Below are 20,131 nucleotides of genomic sequence, written 5' to 3' on the forward strand. Positions count from 1 at the left end.
GGGAGGCCGAGGCGGGCGGATCACTTGAGGTCAGCAGTTCAAGACCAGACTGGCCAACATGGTGAAACCCTGTCTCTACTAAAAGTACAAAAATTAGGTGTGGTGGCGGGTGCTTGTGATCCCAGCTACTCGGGAGGCCGAGGCAGGAGATTTGCTTAAACCCAGGAGACGGTGTTGCAGTCAGCCGAGATCACACCACTGCATTCCAGCCTGGGCAACAGAGCGAGAGACTTTGTCTCAAAAAAAAAAAAAAAAAAAGCCAGGTACAGTAGCTCACGCCTGCAATCCTAGCACTTTAGGAGGCCAAGGCGAGTGGATCACCTGAGGTCAGGAATTCGAGACCAGCCTGGCCAACGTGGCGAAACTCCGTCTCTAGTAAAAATACAAAAATTAGGCTGGGCGCGGTGGCTCATGCCTGTAATCCCAGCACTTTGGGAGTCCGAGGCGGGCGGATCACGAGGTCAGGAGATCGAGACCATCCTGGCTAACACGGTGAAACCCCGTCTCTACTAAAAATACAAAAAAAAATTAGCCAGGCACAGTGGCGGGCGCCTGTAGTCCCAGCTATTCTGGAGGCTGAGGCAGGAGAATGGCGTGAACCTGGGAGGTAGAGCTTGCAGTGAGCCGAGATCGCGCCACTGCACTCCAGCCTGGGCGACAGAGTAAGACTCCGTCTCTAAAAAAAAAAAAATATATTAGCTGGACGTGTTGGCATGCACCTGTAATCCCAGCTACTCAGGAGGCTGAGGCAGGAGAATGGCCTGAACCCAGGGGGGCGGAGGCTGCAGTGAGCCTAGATCATGCCATTGCACTCCAGTCTGGGCGACAAGAGTGAAACTCCATCTTAAAAAAAATAAAAAAATAGAAGCTGTAAACATATGGCTGTGCCTCAGGACTGCCCGGCTTCAGCACTGCTCTGAAGTCAGGGCCGGCAGAGAGCAGAGCTTACTACCAGAGGACGTGAGTGTGAATCCTGCAGCTGGCTGCACCACTTGTCTGAGCGGGACACCAAGCCCAGCTCTGGCTACTGCCACTGCTTCTCCCTAGGGGCCTGCCCCAAGCCCCACTCCTGGGCTGAGGTCTGGCCCCTCCCCTCCCCTTGCTAATCATAGTGCCCTGTCATAGGTGATGTCATTTCCCAGTACACTGAGAAACGCGAGGGTGGGAGCTTTGGCCTGTCCAAATCCCAGCACCCATCACATAAAATGCAAAATGAAACACACCAACCACAGATAAAGTCCAGATGGTATTCTTATTGCTGGCATTGCAATATCAGTAAGTATCAGCAAGTAACGATCATTCCCCACACCTCCCTTTCTTGGGTCTAAGGAAAACTTGTAAGGTTGTGTGGATCCACGTCGAGGACTGTCTGCTTGGAGGTGGGAGACTCTTCTGGGGAAAGGCAGATGGTGAAGAAAAACAAGAGCTGTTTTGCTGTTGTTGCTTTTAATCAATCTTTTATTCACAGCTACAAACTTTAATCAATTATGGATAAAACACAAAAGCTTTTTGAAATGCTGATAAAGGAACCCATACCGAGAGACCAAATAAAATCCGAGTGCTGAGCTGGCCATGGGCTTGGCAGGTCAGCAGCACATGGAGGCACAGAGATGGTGGCACCAACAGAAAGGAATGTGGGAAAATTTTGTCCCCCAGATAATATGAATAGAACAGTAAAATGAGGTTCAGGGTTGAAATGGCAAAGCCAACGTTGCTGTCATTCTCTTGGGTCCCTTCCATGTGCTGGGCTACGATTATAAATGGGGCATGCTGGCTGCATGCCAGGGGCTCCTGGCCTCCAGGAGACAGACACTGTCACACCAGGCTGAGCAAGTGCCATAAAGTCAGGGATTGCTTGGGGCCAGGAGTTAAAGACCAGCCTGGGCAACACAGCAAGATGCCATTTCTACAAAAAAAAAAAATAATAAATAATAATTATATATATATATATATATATATATATTTTTTAGCCAGGCGTTGCAGTGCACGCCTGTAGTCCTAGCTACTTGGGCAGCTGAGGTGGGAGGATGGCTTGAGTCCAAGAGTTCGAGGCTGCAGTGAGCAATGATCAAGCCAATGCACTCCAGCCTGGGTGACAGAGCAAGACAAGACCCCGTCAATCAATCAATCAGTAATAAAACAGGCCACTGGCCAGATTTGGCCTACAAGGCAGTAGTTTGCCTGCCCCTGGTTCAGATTAGAAAATATAGAGTTGAAATCCACTAGCATAGTCCCTCCAAGTCCTGCTTTTCTTCCCCCTTCCTATTCCACATGCCTGGATATTTTGTCATATCCAGTGATTCCAAGACATTGCTAAATGATCTGAAGATTACAGTGAGCTTGCCTTCATCTAAGCTCAAGAGACTGCAGTGCATAAAGATAATTTGTTCAACAGAGTGAGAACTGCTTTGCCAGGAGCGCTGAGTGTTTTAGTAATCAATCAATCAATCAGTCAGAGAAGAACTCATTAGGCGCATGGTGCTGTTCCACACTGGAGATGTGCAGAGCGTTGAGGCTGGATCCTCACAAGTGTTGAGGCTGGATCCTGGCACGTGGGTTGGTGAGAAATTCCTACTTCCCTATTGCCCGGGTACTCATTGCAGTTTCACACAGTTTTAGTTGTGTATAATCCTTGAGAGTCACATTTTCCATTTCTTAACCTATACAATGAAGAAATTCAACTAAATGGCAATGTGATTTTGTGTGTGCACCAGGGGACTTCTCAGCGAGGGCTTCTTGGAGATGTCTTGAAGGCGGCCATGTGCCATGTACGAGGACTGGCCTCAGGGCAGGCTGAGCCATGGGGGAGGGCTCTTAACTTGAGCCCCAGAGATGGAGGCTGTAGTGAGCCATCATCTCGCCACTGCACTCTAGCTGGACAACGGAGCAAAACGCCATCTCAAGAAAACAAAAGTATTCATTGTTTATATGAAATTCAATTCAAATTTAGCTGAGCATCTTGCCTGTTTATTTGCTAAATCTGGTAGCTCTCTAGGGAGAGAAGCAAGTTCACATTTGAGTGTCTGGACCTCCCAGCAACATACTAGTTGGTTCCTACAACCTGTGCGTGGGCATCAGTGCATGGAAATGGCGACAGGGAGAGATAATAAAACAGAAATAGAGGAGGGTAAGTAATTGAAGCCTCAGTATTTTTGCTGTCATTGCAAGAAGAAGGAAATGCTCTGACATATGGTGTAGATGAAGAGTTGAAAACTCAATGTCAGCCAGGCGCAGTGGCTCACGCCTGTAATCCCAACACTCTGGGAGACTGAGGTGGGTGGATCACCTGAGGTCAGGAGTTTGAGACCAGCCTGGCCAACATGGTGAAACCCCGTATCTACTAAAAATACAAAAATTATCCGGGCGTGGTGGCAGGCGCCTATAATCCCATCTGCTCAGGAGACTGAGGCAGGAGAATCGCTTGAACCCAGGAGGCGGAGGTTGCAGTGAGCCGAGATTGTGCCACTGCAGTCCAACCTGGGTGACAGAGTGAGACTGTCTCAAAAAAGAAAGAACAATGCCACAAGGACCTGGACAAGGAGTAAAAGTAAGTCAAGTGGAATGGATATAGCCACAGGGAACAGTGGGGACATGGGACACTGCGGGGGGTGCATGCCCCGCCTAAGAGGTCTGCTGGTACCTCGCTCCAGCTCACTCTGCCATGTGATCTTCAGGGCTCAGTGTGGAAGAGCTGATTCTCCTCAGGTTGACAGTCCTGGTAACCTCAACTGTGGATAGTGAGGCTGATTTCAGAAAGAGTTTTGGAGAGCCCGCAGAGTTCATGAGTAAAGCTGAATATAGTCCCAGCCTCAGCAAATGAAGGCTCCTTCAGCACTAAACCAACTACAAGCTTCACCTGGAAGCAGCACTGCCAGATAAACACAAGACACCCAGTTAAATGTGAACTTCAGATAAACAATGAATACCCTTTCTGTATAAATACATCCCAAATATTGCATGGAACATATACCCAAAAAATATATATTTGTTGGCCAGGCATGGTGGCTCACACCCATAATCCCAGCACTTTGGGAGGCCAACGTGGGAGGATTGCTGAAGCCAGGGGTTTGAGACCAGCCTGGGCAACATAGTGAGACCCCATCTCTACAGAAATAAAATAATTAGCTGGGCATGGTGGTGCACACCTGGTAGTTCTAGCTACTTGGGAGGCTGAGGTGGGAGGATAACTTGAGCCCAAGAGATGGAGTCTGCAGTGCACTCTGATCCTGCCATTGAACTCTAGCCTAGACAACAGAGTGAGACTCTGTCTCAAAAAAAAAAAAAGTATTCATTGTTTACATGAAATTCTATTCCAATTTAACTAAACGTCTTGCCCTTTTATTTGCTAAATCTGGTAGCTCTCTAGAGAGAGAAGCAAATTCACATTTGAGTGTCTGGACCTCCCAGTAACATGCTAGGTGATTCCTATGTACTCTCCTTGATGCCAAAAGATGGATGTTCTAGAACCGTCTTGGCCCCTCACCAGTTGTATGTTCCCTGTCCCTCTGAGCCTCGGTTTCCTCATCTCTTAGGTGGACATGGGAATTCCTATCTCACAGGATTGTCACAAGGATGAAATGGAGTAAATGTAACGGCATATCGTACGGTGTCTGAGACAAAGCAGACACGCAACACATGTTTGCTGCTGAGTGAAATTCCTCACCCTCAGAATGACGCTTTGTTCTCTCACTGAACCTGTCAGGACCCGTCCAGGCTGAGACCAGGGGAGCGTGTCACTCCCACAGTGGCAGGCAACATCATGTGGTCTTCAGGGCCTTCAGGGGGAGCGAGCGAGGAACACAGGAGCTGTGCTCCTGGTGAACCATCCAGATAACAGTTCAGAGGAGAATGAGGGCCCTGGCTTTCTGTTCTTTGGGGTTGGAAGCCACGAGTACAGAAGACTCCTTTTCCATTTGGGCTTTGCCACCATTCTTCAGCAGCATGGCAACTGCTGCCAGCAGCACAAGGATGGTTTCTAATGCACCCAGAGAGTTCTTTGAGGGGCTCGAAGAGACCGAGGACCAGCTTCAGCCACCTTCCCCCCTCCGGCCTGAAGCCTCTCGAAAGCCAGGCCTGAACACGGAACAGCTGGGAAGCCTTCGAGCATTCCAAAGAAGAAATGGAACTTGGGGCATGAAGAGCTTCATTTTATCTGCTTCCTTCCCTGGATGCCTGAAGGGTGACACAGGAGGTGCCTGCCAGCGCCGCATGCTGGTCCGCCTGCAGACGGCCCTGTCCACGCACACACAGACACGTCCCAAATATTGCAGGAAGATCTCTTGAGGGAGCTCATTTAACTCGGCTTCCCTTGGAAATAAAAGTGACTGAATTCTTTCACTAGGGCTGCCATAACAAAGTGCCACAGCCTGGGTGGCTTCAACAACAGAAACGCCTTGTCGCCCAGTTCTGGAGGCAGGAATTTGAGATCGAGGTGCCAGCAGGTTGGTTCCTTCCGAGGCTGTGAAGGATGGATCTGTTCCAGGCCCCTCCTCGGCGTGCAGGTCTACACGTTCACATGAAGTTCTCCCTTCACAGCCGCCTGTGGCCAAATGTCCCCTTCCTATAAGGACACCCATCACGTTGGATTAGGACCTACCCTCACGACCTCATTGTAACTTAGTTACCTCTTTAAAGACCCCATCTCCAGGCCAGGTGCGGTGGCTCACGTCTGTAATCTCAGCACTTTGGGAGGTCGAGGAGGGTGCATCACTTGAGGTCAGGAGTTTGAGACCAGCCTGGCCAACATGGCAAAACCCCATCTCTACTAAAAATACAAAAATTAGCCAGGCATGGTGGCATGCGCCTGTAACCCCAGCTACTCAGGAGGCTGAGGCAGGAGAATCACTTGAACCCAGGAGACAGAGGTTGCCGTGAGCTGAGATCACACCACTGCACTCCAGCCTGGGAGACAGAGTGAGACTCCGTCTCAAAAATATACATATATAAATAAAATAAAATAAAATAAAAATAAAGATCCCATCTCCAAACAGGGTCACGTTTTTAGGTACAGGGGATTAAGACTTCAACATATGAATTGGGAGTGGAGGGGGACAGAATTCAACCCACATCAGTTAACTTATTGGAAAGAATAAAGTCCATTAATCCAAAAGTCTGCTGTGGTAGATATCACAAATATTCCTCTTCTACATGGATGAATCTCAAAATAATTATGCTGAGTGAAAGAAGCCAGACCAAAAGAGAACATGCTGTGTGATTCCATTTATATCAAATTCTAGAAAATGCAAACTAATCTATACAGCAGCAGAAAGCAGATCAGTGTTTGTCTGGGGATTGAGGAGTACGGATGTCACAGGTGTGGAGATGGCAAAGGATCCCAAAGAAACTTCCAGCAGTGATGGAATATTCATTATTGTGATTGTGGGGGTGGTGGTTTCATGGGCATATGTGTGTGTCAAGCTTATCAAACTGTAGACTTTAAATATGCATATTTTATTATGCATCAATTAAAATTTCATAAAGAGTTAGGGGTTTTTTAAGAATAAATATGGCCAGATGTGGTGACTCAGGCCTATAATTCCAGCCCTTTGGGAGTCCAAGACAGGAGGCTTGCTTGAGGTCAGAAATTTGAGACATAGTTGGTCCAAGTGTTGTAGGTTATTGTTAAGCTGATTTAACATTGTCTCCCAAAATAACCACACCTGACTAGCTATTAAAAAAACAGTTTAAGACCAGGCTGGGCAACACAGCAAGACCCCATCTCTATTAAAATATTGTATAAAAATTAGTCAGGCATGGCGGTGTGCACCTGTAGACCTAGCTACACAAGAGGCTGAGATGGGAGGATCACTTGAGCCCAGGAGTTCGAGGCTGCAGTTAGTTATGATCAAGCCACTGCACTCCAGCCCCTGGACAGCAAAGTGAGACCCTGTCTCAAAAAATAAATAAATAAACGAACAAATATTCCACTTCTTCTTCCCTTCTGTTCTTTTGTTGGGCATGTGGTAGGCATGTACTTACTTCCCTGTTCCCTTCAAAGTAAGGTGTGGCCGTGAGACAAGTCTTGGCCATGAGATGCTGGCAGAAGTGATAGGTGTCACTCACAGGTGGATGTGTTAAGAGCCAGTGTGTGATTCAGCACTTTCCCTTTAGTGCCATCCCTGCAATCATGGAAGGATGAGTCAAGATGGAACCTCCAACCACCTGGGTCCCTGCCATGACCAGCGCCGCCTGCTGACCTGCGCTAGATGTACATCACCAGTAAAAAAAACCCTTTGCTTTTTTAAGCCACTGAGATTTGGGGCTTGCTTATTACTGCAGCATAACCTAAGCTCTGCGGACAGTCACCTACAAGTGTGAGAGTCTGTCATTCAGCTGTGGCCCCGCTGGAATCAGGCAGGAGACGGAAGCCACACAACTAGAGGGTGAACCTAACTAACCACCCAGACTCCTCCCCTCCCCAAAGCCTTGCTATACTCTGGTCCTTTTTGCAACACAGTAATATGCATAAAGGGGTACACACTTGCTTTTCTGTGTAAAAATGGCCCCCAAAAGAAAGCTAGCTGCTGGTGGTGGCAGTGGAAGTGAGAAGGAAGGCAAGCAGTCCAGCAAGCTCTGAAGGTCAGAAGCGGGTTGTGTAGCCGGAGGCAGAGGTTGCAGTGAGCCAAGACCACGCCACTGCACTTCAACCTGGTGACAGAGTGAGACGCCGTCTAAAAAAAAAAAAAAAAAAGAAGCGGGTTGTGTAAATGACATTGGTCCTGTATTCGCACATCATGGCATGGAAACCGTGTCTCACAGCTGCCAGTTTTGTCTTCCTACATTGTTGGAGGGGGTCATATGCTACAGAGGTGGTCTTGAATTTGAGGAGTCACCAAAGCATCAGAATTTCTATGATGCCTATTTAGCAAAATGCATTTCAAACACAGGTGATCTTCCTGCACAAAGAGGCAGACTGTAATGAAGAGAAGACACGAGGCTTGCTTCGTGCCACCTGGGGAGAGTGTGGAGCCATGGTGCTTGGTTTCAGCAACTCCGCCAGCTTTCTCTGGGCCCCCTGGCAGACCCTGAGCCTTCCTGGCCCCTGAGGTCTATCCATCAAGCTGGCTTACATGGCCTCTGAGGTCCTCTTCAGCTTGAGGTCCTGTGATCATTCAGGGCTGGGCATCTCATCTCCCGCCCATGCCTTGGTGCTTCCTACATACAGGACATTCTATGACACACTTTATGTAATTCTGAGTTATTCCTCACAGCAAGCCTAGGAGGGATATGCTATTATAATCCTGGTTTTACTCCTCATGAGGAAACTGAGGCTTGACAAAGTCAAGTAATTTGCCCAAAGCCACATACCCTTACAAGACAGAGCCAGAAATGCAGTCCTGATTTTCAGAGCGTGTGCTGCTGCTTCTCAAGCACATGCTCAGATCACTCCACATTCTTTCTCATGGATTTTTTTTTTCATTTTATCTTTGCCTTTTGTTAGTAGTACGAAAAAATTACGGTTTATTGTGGGTTGTCTGGATGATACCCTCATAACCAGGAATTGCCCTTCCATGTTGGAACCAGCACCTCCATTTGTGCTCACAATCCGGCTCTAAGGGGTCTCCTAATGAAACTGCATTTAACATTTTTTTTTTGGGGGGGGATGGAGTCTCGCTCTGTCTCCCAGGCTGGAATGCAGTGGCGCAATCTCAGCTCACTGCAACCTCCGCCTCCCAGGTTCAAGCGATTCTCCTGCCTCAGCCTCCTGAGTAGCTGGGATTACAAGCACCTGCCACCATGCCCGGCTAATTTTTGTATTTTTAATAGAGACAGGGTTTCACCATGTTGGCCAGGCTGATTTTTAAAATACTTTATAAAAAAAAGAAAGAGAGAGAGAAGGAAGGAAGGAGAGAGAGAAAGAGAAAGAAAGAAAGAAGAAAGAGAAAGAAAGAAAAGAAAGAAAGAAGAAAGAAAGATAGAAAGAGAGAGAGAAAGAGGAAAGAAAGAGGAAAGAAAGGAAGGAAGGAGAAGGAAGGGAGGGAGGAAGGAAGGAAGAAAGGAGAAAGAGAAAAAAAGGAAAGAAGGAAAGAAGGCAGGCAGGCAGTGGAGACAGTTATCCCCATCCCCCACCCCCCAGAAATAGAAACATTTAAGAGCTCCAAGTTTTTAAGAATTATTTTAATACACTTTTCCTGCGAAACTCAATTCAAGGCAGCTTCAAGGTAAAAATGCTTATATTTGGCATCTGTCCTTGTATTTTTAGGCACCTTGATGCATTCACACTCACTACGCTCACACCCAGAAGACCCCCAAGAAATCCGCTTCTTTGTGCAGATAAAGGAAATGCAAACTGGTCATTCTGGAAACCAGGGTCAATTCTAGATTTCTAGAAGCCTGGCTGTGGGCCTCAAGGCCCTTCATGAAAGCAAGGGCCTCAGATTGACCCTTTCCAAGCATCCCCTACCAGGAGGGGAAGGGCACAGATTCTCAAGGGACCGTGGTGCATGCAGGTAAACCGAAACCTCTAGGCTGGCACGTGGCACCACTGCCCTGGGAGACAAGCCATCCCCGCTCTCTGTCTGGATGGCCTGGTCAATGCAGTGTAGATCATGGATGTGATTTCTCTCACTGATATTCGGGGGATACAATTTAAAATGTATCCAAGTATCTGATGGAAATAAGAGGGAGCTACAGAAAATGACTCAAGCTGAGGACATATAGGAAGGAATCGGTTCAGGTGTAAGGAAGGATTTCTGGGGAACTTTCTTCCTTGTGTTCATCCCTCCCTCTTTACATAAGGTCTTGAGTCACGAGCACCTTGTGTTAGATGCTGGGCTACAAAATGATCAAAACAGAAGGCCTGCCCACTGAGAATACACACTTCCCTGGGCCACATCCACCCTCCAAAGTAATCCCACCATAACAGGGCAGCTGTCATCATGGAAGGACTGCCCACGTGCAGAGGGGCCCAAGAAAGTGGTCTTGTCCTCAAAGCAACTTGAGATGAGGATCCTGTGTCATCCAACAGCTACAGCTTAGGCAGATGAATAGCGGCTTCCCTGGGCCCAGGCAGTCCTCCAATTCATAAAAGCAAACAGGCCTGGGGCAGTGGCTCACGCCTGTAATCCCAGCACTTTGGGAGGCCTAGGCAGGCGGATCACAAGGTCAGGAGTTTGAGACCAGCCTGGCCAACATGGTGAAACCCCGTCTGTACTAAAAAAAATACAAAAATTAGCCGGGCATGGTAGCATGCGCCTGTAATCCCAGCTACTCAGGAGGTTGAGGCAGGAGAATTGCTTGAACCCGGGAGGCGGAGGTTGCTGTGAGCTGAGATCACGCCACTGCACTCCAGCCTGGGAGACAGAGCAAGACTCCATCTCAAATAAAAAGGAAGGAAGGAAGGAAGGAAGGAAGGAAGGAAGGAAGGAAGGAAGGAAACAGAATAGTAGGTTGCCAGCTGGACTGGTTCTAGAGGTTGGAGAGGCCAAGTTCCTCCCATGACAAATCAGGAAACTGAGGACACACTTTCACGGCCAGTTCTCCAGCAATGTCCACTAGCATCCCAGGCTCTCTATCTACCTAAACAAAGTCGATTCCCCCTGCCTAGCAATTTAATGTATGAGGGTTTTTTTTTTTATGGTAATGAGTTGGAACTGAATACACACTAAAATGCAGCGCAAATCACTGCGATGAGAGCTGAAAAATGCTAATCTCTCTCCAACATCTTCAGTGCCATTCTCCTGAAACTACCTGCTCCAGCAAGGTTCCCGTGGGTTAATTATTGCTGCAGAGGAAATTGCACTGATTTGCATCTGCTTTCATCGGCTGGAACCAGCGCATGTCAGTCCTGCAGGAACAGACCTGGGTTAACCTGTTGGCTGCTTCAGGCAAGAGGGACACCGAGTTGCAGGCTGCCTCTCCACCCCGCCAGTGCTGTTTCCCAGCCTCAGGGCACCTGCAGAGATACCAATCTGGTTACCTGTTCACCTGTACTTTGTGCATCTGATACTCCCAGAGCCTGCCCACCTGCTCTTTGCAATGCAGCAGCAGCAAATCCCAGGCCCCAAGCTCAAGGCCTGGGATTTAATTTGCCCTATTTGAAAGGTCCCATTCCTACCTGGTGAGCTCATCAATAACTATCAAAGCCACCTTTCTTCCCCTCCAAGAACCAGCCTTTCTACAGTGACTGGCTCCAAATGCAATTTCAAAATCTGGCTGGCTCCTGCAGAAGCCAGCACAGCCTCCCAGATGGGAGTAGGCCATCTCTGAAGGCGGGGCGAGTTACAAAACAGAATCCCCATGCACTAAGAGAAAGAAGAGAGAGATTGCTATAGAGGACTGGCCTCTGGGGCTCTGAAGACCTAAGTCCTCTGTTCTCAGATTGCATGGGACTTGAAAGCTCCTGGCTGTTGGTCTCCTGTGTGTGTAACAGGGTACCTTCTCTTTCTCAGAAAAGGAAAAGTCTGTAATCCATGCATTGATATGCAAATGTATGTTTACCCAGGTGAGGTGTATTGTGGGAGAAACCCCTGGGATAAGTTTCCACTCTGCACATAACCTTTATTACAGTATTCTTGTTTCACTGGGCTACTCAAAGGGTTTAAAAATAAAGTTTCACTTGCATACTACGTCTGGCCTGCAGAAATCTTTCACTGAGCCGTGTTTTAACCAAAAGCACTAATATTATTATGTTTGCATTAGCATGTGTGGGCTGTCGTTAGGTGCTTTTGATTATAATGACAGCACCAAGAGTCTTAAATCTAGGTAGCACCTGTTCTGAATGATCCTCTGATGATATTGAATATAAGCAAAATAAGTATTTCATATTATTGATGACAGATTGGATGTGACTGCATTTTCTCTATGAAAGATGCTGAGCAACTCTGCATCAATAACTGTGTGGAGGACTCCAGGATTTGGTTCATACAGGAACTCCTTTAATAGTGCTTAGCTTACAAGCTCTCCAGGTTGGGGATGGAGCCTCAGTTAGATTGATACAGTTTGCAGAGTGCCTGGCTTAGTCGATGTTCAATAACATTTGGGGCAGGAGGGAGTGAATAAAGGTATACATGGGTGAACAAAATAACACAGTCTAGGCTGGGCACGGTCGCTCACGCCTATAATCCCAGCACTTTGGGAGGCCGAGGTGGGCAGATCACAAGGTCAGAAGTTCAAGACCAGCCTGGCCAATAAGGTGAAACCCCATCTCTACTAAAAATACAAAAATTAGCCGGGCATGGTGGCGGGTGCCTGTAGTCCCAGCTACTCAGGAGGCTGAGGCAGGAGAATCACTTGAACCCAGGAGGCAGAGGTTGCAGTGATCCGAGATCATGCCCCTGCACTCCAGCTTGGGTGACAGAGCGAAACTCTGTCTCAAAAAATAAAAAATAACACAGTCTATCCCTTAAGTAAAACCAGGTTGGGCGGGAAAGGCTGCAGCCACCGGTGAAATCACCCCTAGGTCAGGACACTCAGCAAGAGAAGGTGGCCTGCCTTGGAGCCACCTGAATACGCAAAATGGAGTCAAGTATCTGCAGAGGAATTTGGCAGAAAACGTGTGGCATATTGTATGACCTGTTTATAGAGATCGTCCTGAAAAAATAAAAAAAGGTTGAGGACTCAGGAGGGCGTAAGCAATGACTAACCTAGTTAGCTAATTACGGGAGTTACACAAACCGGCTTCAGGGTAAAGTCCATTCAGGGGTTACTCAAGACCAGCCCCACCCCCAACAGGTACTGTGGAGGCCCGCAGCCGAGCTGGGCCCGAGTCCCTTCCTCCACATGCACACCCCTTCCGGGCTGCACATCCAGGTGCCATGCCATCTCAGGTTGCTGATACATCTGTTGGCTTGTGCCCCGGCTAACAGCCATGACTGAACCTCCCAGTGTGTGATGATGGCAGTTCTCACCTGGAACAGCACAGAAGGGCAGCCTGCTGGCTCTACAGCTCTCTTGGACCCCCATCCTCCTACAGACCCTCCACTTCCCTTCCCCAGTAACCTGGACTCCTACCCAGGAGTTGCCAACCAATGCACTGGCTGAAAGTGGAGGCCACTTGGAAGGCTAAACTTTGTGGATGTATCAAATGTCCTTCCTGAGACAGCCCCAAAACAATGCAATTTCCTTTCTCAGCCATCGCCCCAATAAAGAAACACCGCTGTGGATGCATCTAGTCATGGCCAACTGAAACGGCATTCTAGACACCTTGGTCTGCCTTTGCAAACAGCATGTGCACACCCAGGGCACACTGCACACACTTGCACATGCCACACTCATGCACGCTGCTGAGAGAGGGTGGGCATGAGGAGGGCCCTGGAGTCTGACGGTCACAGAATGCTCGAGACTGCATTATCCTCTAGGATCTTGTCCTTTGGCAAAATGAAACTCAGAGGGTCAGAGTTTCAGAGTGTCAGGAAATGACAAAGCTGAACCTCAAGCTCTGATGTTTTGGCCACAAAAGGAAATGCAGGCACAGCCAGATGCCTAGAAAAGGGGAAAAGAGGGCTACCGTGCTTCTTGGATTCCTGCCCGATTTTTCTCTTTGACCATCACTAGCCATGAAGAGGCCCTAATAACCAGGCCCCTTTGTAACTTACCTGGAATATTGGAGGGCTCACTTCCACACATGTATTGAGGGTCTACTATGTGCTATGCACTGTGCTAGAAACTGAAATGTGCCAAAGCAGTTCTTGCTCTCAGGATGTTTATATCCAGCAAGTGAGCAGCAGAAAAACAAAGAATGGCAATAGAGCAATGGGGAAAATAAGAGAAGACATACATATGTCAAAAAAGTACAACTGGGCCGGGCGCAGTGGCTCATGCCTGTAATCCCAGCACTTTGGGAGGTTGAGGCGGGCGGATCGGGCCTGCCTCCTAGAGGTCAGGAGATGGAGACCATTTTGATCAACATAGTGAAACCCTGTCTCTACTAAAAATACAAAAATTAGCCGGGCGTGGTGCCGTGCACCTGTAGTCCCAGCTACTCAGGAGGCTGAGGCAGGAGAATCACTTGAACCCAGGAGGCGGAGGTTGCAGTGAGCCAAGATCACACCACTGCACTCCAGCCTGGGTGACAGAGCGAGACTCTGTCTCAAAAAAAAAAAAAAGTGCCACGGCGTCTCTCTTAGGGAGGAAGCTGGGGAAGCTTTGCAGCCATAGTGACATCAGGTGAGGATTTTGCAGGAAGAATGGGAGCTGTCAGGAGGGTGAAAAACGGCGTTATCCCTGGCCAAGGGAACCATGCAGGTGGAACTCAGTGATAGAATAAGGCAGCAAAGTGGAGTCAAGAATGACATCCAGGCCAGGTGCGGTGGCTCACACCTGCAGTCCCAGCATTTTGGGAGGCCGAGGAGGGTGGATCACCTGAGGTCAGGAGTTTGAGACCAGCCTGGCCAATGTGGTGAAACCCCCTCTCTATTAAAAAGACAAAAAATTGGCTGGGCACGGTGGCTCACACCTGTAATCCCAGCACTTTCAGAGGCCAAGGCGGGTGGATCACCTGAGATTGGGAGTTTGAGACCAGCCTGATCAACATGGAGAAATCCCATCTCTACTAAAAATACAAAATTAGCCAGGCATGGTGGCGCATGCCTGTAATCCCAGCTACTCAGGAGGTTGAGGCAGGAGAATCGCTTGAGCCCGGGAGGCAGAGGTTGCGGTGAGCCGAGATCATGCCATTGCACTCCAGCCTGGGCAACAAAAGCAAAACTCTGTCTCGAAAACAAAAACAGACAAACAAACAAACAAAAAAAATTAGCCAGGCATTGTGGTGGGTGCCTGTAATCCCAGCTACTCAGGAGGCTGAGGCAGGAGAATCGCTTGAAAAGGGGAGGCAGAGGTTGCAGTGAGCTGAGATCGCGCCATTGCACTCCAGCCTGGGTGATAACAGCGAAACTCTGTCTCAAAAAAAAATTAAAAATTTAAAAAAAGAATGACATCGAGGTGTTCTGTCTTGGACAAGTGGGTGAATCATAGCACCCTTATCCCACATGAGAAATACTGAAGGACAGGCAGACATATAGAGTAAGATGGTGAGTTTATTCCCCCACCATCTTGAATTCGAGTTATCTGTAGGATAGTCAGGTGTAGGTATTAATGTGCACCTGGACAAGTGAGTGTGGAAAAGAGTGTAGAGGAAAGAGGCCAGGTAAGTAACCTCAGCAAGAGAATGGTAGACTGTGGAGTAGATGGGGTAAGGAAATGAAGATGGAGCATGTAGGCTACTCCTAAGCTGGTGTAGTTAAATAAGGAGAAGAGCAAGAGTCCTGCAGGCTTATGGAATACAGCCATTGGGTTTCTAGCACGAGGAAGGGATGGGTGATCCTCCATTGATGTGAGGCCAAGGGTGCGCATGGACAGGCCAGCCTCAAATAGGAAGGGGGCTGTTCTCAGCTCCTGGAGAGAAGAAGAGAAAGACAAGTAGGAGAGGAGGGAATCAGGGAAGTAGGGACAAAGGGGGACAAGAAGTTGAGAACTGTGTTTTGTTCTCCCTATGAAAATAAGCTTAATGAAAATTGCCTAGCTCATTAGGTTGTTTTTTAAATGACCAGGTAAATTCGTCTTTATTTTATTTTATTTTATTTTTTCTGGCCTGGCACAGTAGCTCACACCTGTAATCCAAGCACTTTGTGAGGTCGATGCGGGTGGATCACTTGAGGTCAGGAGTTTGAGGCCAGCCTGGCTAACACGGTGAAACCCGGTTGTCTACTAAAAATACAAAAAAATTAGCAGGGGGTGGTAGTGCATGCCTATAATCCCAGCTACTCAGGAGGCTGAGGCAGAAGAATCGCTTGAACTTGGGAGGCAGAAGTTGCAGCGAGCCCATATCACACCACTGCACTCCAGCCTGGGTGACAGAGCTAGACTCCATCTCAAAAGAAAAAAAATAAAAAAATAAAAATCTCTTTTTTTTTTCTTTGAGACAGGGTCTGTGGCCCAGGCTGGAATGCAATGGTGTGATCATAGCTCACTGCAGCCTCAAATTCCCAGGCTCAAGTAATCCTCCCACCTCAGCTTCCCAAGTAGCTGGGACTACAGGTGCGTACCACCATGCCCAGCTAAGGTAAAAGCATCTTTAGAGAAATAAACTAATTCTAAGTGTACTCTAATCATACCTTTCCATATGATACATACATTTATTGATTATACAGCAAATGCCTTGGGGAGAAAAGATTCCCTGGATCTGGCAACACTGAATTATTTCACTGAGATTCCTCAAAACCATGAAAACAATCAGTTTCAGCTGATAAATACATGAAATGTCAAACACTATGAAGATTTCGACTATCCCTACTTAGAATAATCAAAATCAACCAGGTGCGGTGGCTCACGCCTATAATCCCAGCACTTTAGGAGGCTGAGACGGGCGGATCATGAGGTCACGAGATCGAGAATATCCTGGCCAACATAGTGAAACCCTGAAACCCTGTTTTCTTTTATTTTTTATTTTTTTTAGATGGAGTCTCTCTCTGTTGCCAGGCTGGAGTGCAGTGACGCAATCCCGGCTCACTACAACCTCTGACTCCCCGGTTCAAGTGATTCTCCTGCCTCAGCCTCCTGAGTAGCTAGGATTATAGACATATGCCACCATGTCCAGCTAATTTTTGTATTTTTAGTAGAGCCGGGGTTTCACCATGTTGGCCAGGATGGTCTCGATCTCCTGACCTCGTGATCCACCCACCTCGGCCTCCCAAAGTGCTGGGATTACAGGCTTGAGCCACAGCGCCCAGCCTACCCTGTTTCTACTACTAATATATACAAAAATACAAAAATTAGCCAGGTGTGGTGGCACGCGCATGTAGTCCCAGCTAGCTACTTGGGAGACTGAGGCAGGAGAATCACTTGAACTTGGGGGGCGGAGGTTGCAGTGAGCCAAGATCGCGCCACTGCACTCCAGCCTGGGCGGATGAGCAAGACTCCATCTCAAAAAAAGAAGAATCAAAATCTGTGAAAACATAACATAGATAGCTGCTCATCTGATTAAAAGGCTCTCTGCTTTCATGTCCTATTCTTACAAACTCAAGAACTTGACACAAACTTCAACCTCCAAATAGAGAAGCAGCTCCACTGTACAGAGCCAAGTAAAAATGCCTTTGGTGGCTGGGCACAGAGGCTCACACCTGTAATCCCAGCACTTTGGGAAGCCAAGGGGGAAGGATCACTTGAGGCCAGGAGTTCAAGACCAGCCTGGGCAACATAGTGAGACTATCTCTACAAAAAAATGAAAAAGTGAAAAAAAATTGCCTTTGGAGACAGAAGTTTGAGGGCATTTTGAAGACTTTTATGTGCGGAGAAATTTCAAGCTTGAAAGATCAAAAGGCAAGAAGAAATAAATATATCCAGTATTTTGAAGGATCAAGGGATCAAACTGCTCATTTGACCAACTGGAGACTTACAAGAGCATTGGAATGTGGGTCGGATCCAATGTGGATAAACTCAGCTATGGGCTTTTAAACCCATTACCCACTGGGAACAGGATTCTGAAGGCAAATGGCAGGTGTGTGAATAGGTGTAGGGCCCACATGATAGGCCCTGTCTGGCAAACGCCCAATGGCATGCTACACCAAATGAAGAAAACAGACGTGAGTTCCCTGTCTCATGGATCCCCTGGGTTCACACTGCAGGGCACATTGCAAAGGAATGAGAGCACCCACCACTGCAAAGGGAATACCAGAGCTTGGGCCAGAGGGCAGCACAGTAGCCCTCCCACTGCTTATGAAGAGGAGGTTAAACTTCCCCACCAGAAGCCCTGGGGCAAGAGAGAGGACTAGACGGGAGGAGGGGAAAAGCGTGTCACCTGGCACCGATGACAGACTCGTCAGCGAGAGCCAAACCAAGCCCTTCAGTGAGTCACACAAACTGTGGAGTTTGAACTGAACATCTACAAGGAGCGTGGAGGCTGAGCTTCTCAAGAGTCCTGCTTGCTGTGCCAGGAGCATTCCTGTGGTCCTGTCAGGGTGCCTGGGTGGGGCTTCACTCTGGGCTCCAGAAGCTACTGCTCAAATGCCGCATCCTCTCAGCAGGACAACCAAAAGCTGGGGAGAGGAAAGGGAGAAGACTCAAGGGAACATGACCCTGACTTCCCAGAAGGATGAAGCCACAGATGCCACCGCACCTGGCTGGGAGCCAAAAGTCATGACGTGATGTGGGAGCAAATTCCAGAAACTCTTGGGCAGGAGCTGAGGGCTTGAGTGTCCAAATGAGATACAGCCTCCTCTTCCTGATCCCATTCTTTTCCTCTTCGAAAGGTTCTTTGTGCATTTTAAATTCAAAGGAAGGGTTTGGACAAAAGGGAGGCTGTTCCATCCAGAAAGCGCATACTTGTCAGAACAAGCCGTCTGCCAGGGCGTCTGGCAGGGAAGGGCTGGGGGCCACGGGCTGACTTACCTGAAGTCCTCGGGCAGTGGCAGGGGCCCAGAGCACCTCCCCACTGTGAATCAGAAGGAGGGCATTCCTCCACTGTTACCAGCATCTCCATCTCCACCAAAACAAGCCAAGCCTTTCCCTTTCCCACGTTCCTGGGTCGAGAAGCAGGTGTGGTCCTTTGCAGCAAGTTGACATCAACGAAAAACACATTCCTTGGCCCTTCGATTCCTATTGACACACGCAGTTTCTGAGGCTGAGTTACACCTGACCTCTGGGTCAGTCCCTGTTTACTCATCCGCACAACCCACTCATTTATCAGATAATGACCCAGCCCTTGGATGTGACTCCTGCTCGGCCCCAGGAGGAGTGGGCAGTGTGTCAGGGAGACCTCCCTCAAGGGGCTCGCAGGCTGCCCCGCACTGGCGATGGCACCCAGGAGGACCTTTGCATGGTATCTACTCATATAAAACATGCCCCTCCTGACCCCCGCCTCCTCTTCATTTATTTCCTTGCATTTATTCATTCATTCAAAGGATAGATATTGGGTTCCCCTGGTGCCAGGCTCCACAAAAACTTTTCAGGGGAGCGAGGTCCAGTGGCTCACACCTGTAATCCCAGTGACACTAGAGGCTGAGGCAGAGGAATCCCTTGAGTCCAGGAGTTCAAGACCAACCTGGGCAATATAGTGAGACCCCACGTCTACAAAAAAAAAAATTGAGACAGGGTCTTACTCTGTTGCCAGGCTGGAATGCAGTGGTACGATCTCAGCTCATTGCAGACTCAATCTCCTGGGCTCAAGTGATCCTCCCACCTCAGCCTCCACAGTGGCTGGCACTGCAGGTTCACACTACCACGTCCAGCTAATTGTTGTATTAAAACAATTTTTTTAAATTAGCCAAGCATGGTGATGCACACCTGTAGTCTTAGTTACTCAGGAGGCTGAAGCAGGAGGATCACTTAAGTCCAGAAGTTTGAGGCTGCAGTGAGCTATGATTGTGCCACTGCACTCCAGCCTGAGCGACAGAGCAAGACTCTGACTCTAAAATAAATAAATAAATCAGAATAGAAAAGTGTGGAGGATGTAATGGTGAACCAAAGCTGGCATGATTCCATCTCCCACATAACTTACCTTTCAGTAAGAGAAGACATCAGAAGCAAGCAAGCGAATAAATAAGCCAGATAGGTTCTGTGAATAAGAAGGGCCTCGGAGAACATCAAGACTGGGAGAGGGGCTTAGTCCTCTCTGAGGAAGGGACGCAGGCCTTAGGGATGAAGGGCAAGCACATTTCAAGCTCGGTCCCCTGAGGAGGGGAGCCCAAAAGGAAGCCGTGATGGGGGGTTCGAGCTGCCGGTGTGAAATGGAAGGCTCAGCCAGACGAGGCATGTCCTCGCTCATCAGACACAGGCACGCTCTGGCCCAGAGCAGGATGGCCTCGGGCCTGGCCTCCACCCATGGGGCTTCCTCCTCTGAGGCAGAGAACTTTGAAAAGAAGTCACCCACGTGGCTTGCTTCTAACTCTCCCAGAAAGGCAGCAAATGTGGCTTGTTATACTAGGGAGAGAGGCCGTCTCGGTGAGGACACTCTGGTGGCTCACGATTGGCCTGATTTCCTCAGATGACGCTGGATGGTCAGAGGCCGCTGACCCTCCAGTCCCTGTCCCCTAGGGACCCCGGCCAGCGTCAGTGGCCGGTCAGCTCCTGCCAACGCCTCCTGGAAACTGCACCGTTGCCCCACTCGTGGGTAAGACCCCATGTAGTCCTTGAGCTCTTTTTCTCAGGAGGGGCTGATGCATGCACGGCCAGGGCCCTGGGCCTGGCTGCCCAGCTC

At 48.7% G+C, this 20,131-nt stretch overlaps 1 long non-coding RNA gene across 1 annotated transcript, besides 2 other annotated features; it reads right to left on the reverse strand.

Moving 5' to 3' along the window:
- Window positions 1,023-1,092: an enhancer, noted in NCBI's record as "active region_2789". NCBI's record gives its function as "activates an Ori minimal core promoter by ATAC-STARR-seq in GM12878 lymphoblastoid cells {active_cell/tissue: GM12878}" and the evidence as "EXISTENCE:reporter gene assay evidence [ECO:0000049][PMID:35858748]".
- Window positions 5,287-5,786: an enhancer, noted in NCBI's record as "H3K4me1 hESC enhancer chr1:235191005-235191504 (GRCh37/hg19 assembly coordinates)". NCBI's record gives its function as "activates a minimal SCP1, AML or CMV promoter by ChIP-STARR-seq in primed H9 embryonic stem cells {active_cell/tissue: H9 hESC(primed)}" and the evidence as "EXISTENCE:reporter gene assay evidence [ECO:0000049][PMID:30033119]".
- LINC01348 (long intergenic non-protein coding RNA 1348) lies at window positions 15,503-19,847 on the reverse strand. The gene is made up of 4 exons (NR_027454.2): window positions 19,433-19,847; window positions 18,325-18,531; window positions 17,735-17,972; window positions 15,503-15,642 (listed from the first exon to the last, which is right to left on the reverse strand). It is a non-coding gene; the product is annotated as a long intergenic non-protein coding RNA 1348 (long non-coding RNA).
- Between the last annotated feature and the right edge of the window lie 284 nt (window positions 19,848-20,131).

Source organism: Homo sapiens, chromosome 1 (assembly GCF_000001405.40).
Source record: "Homo sapiens chromosome 1, GRCh38.p14 Primary Assembly".
Taxonomy (NCBI): Eukaryota; Metazoa; Chordata; class Mammalia; order Primates; family Hominidae; genus Homo; species Homo sapiens.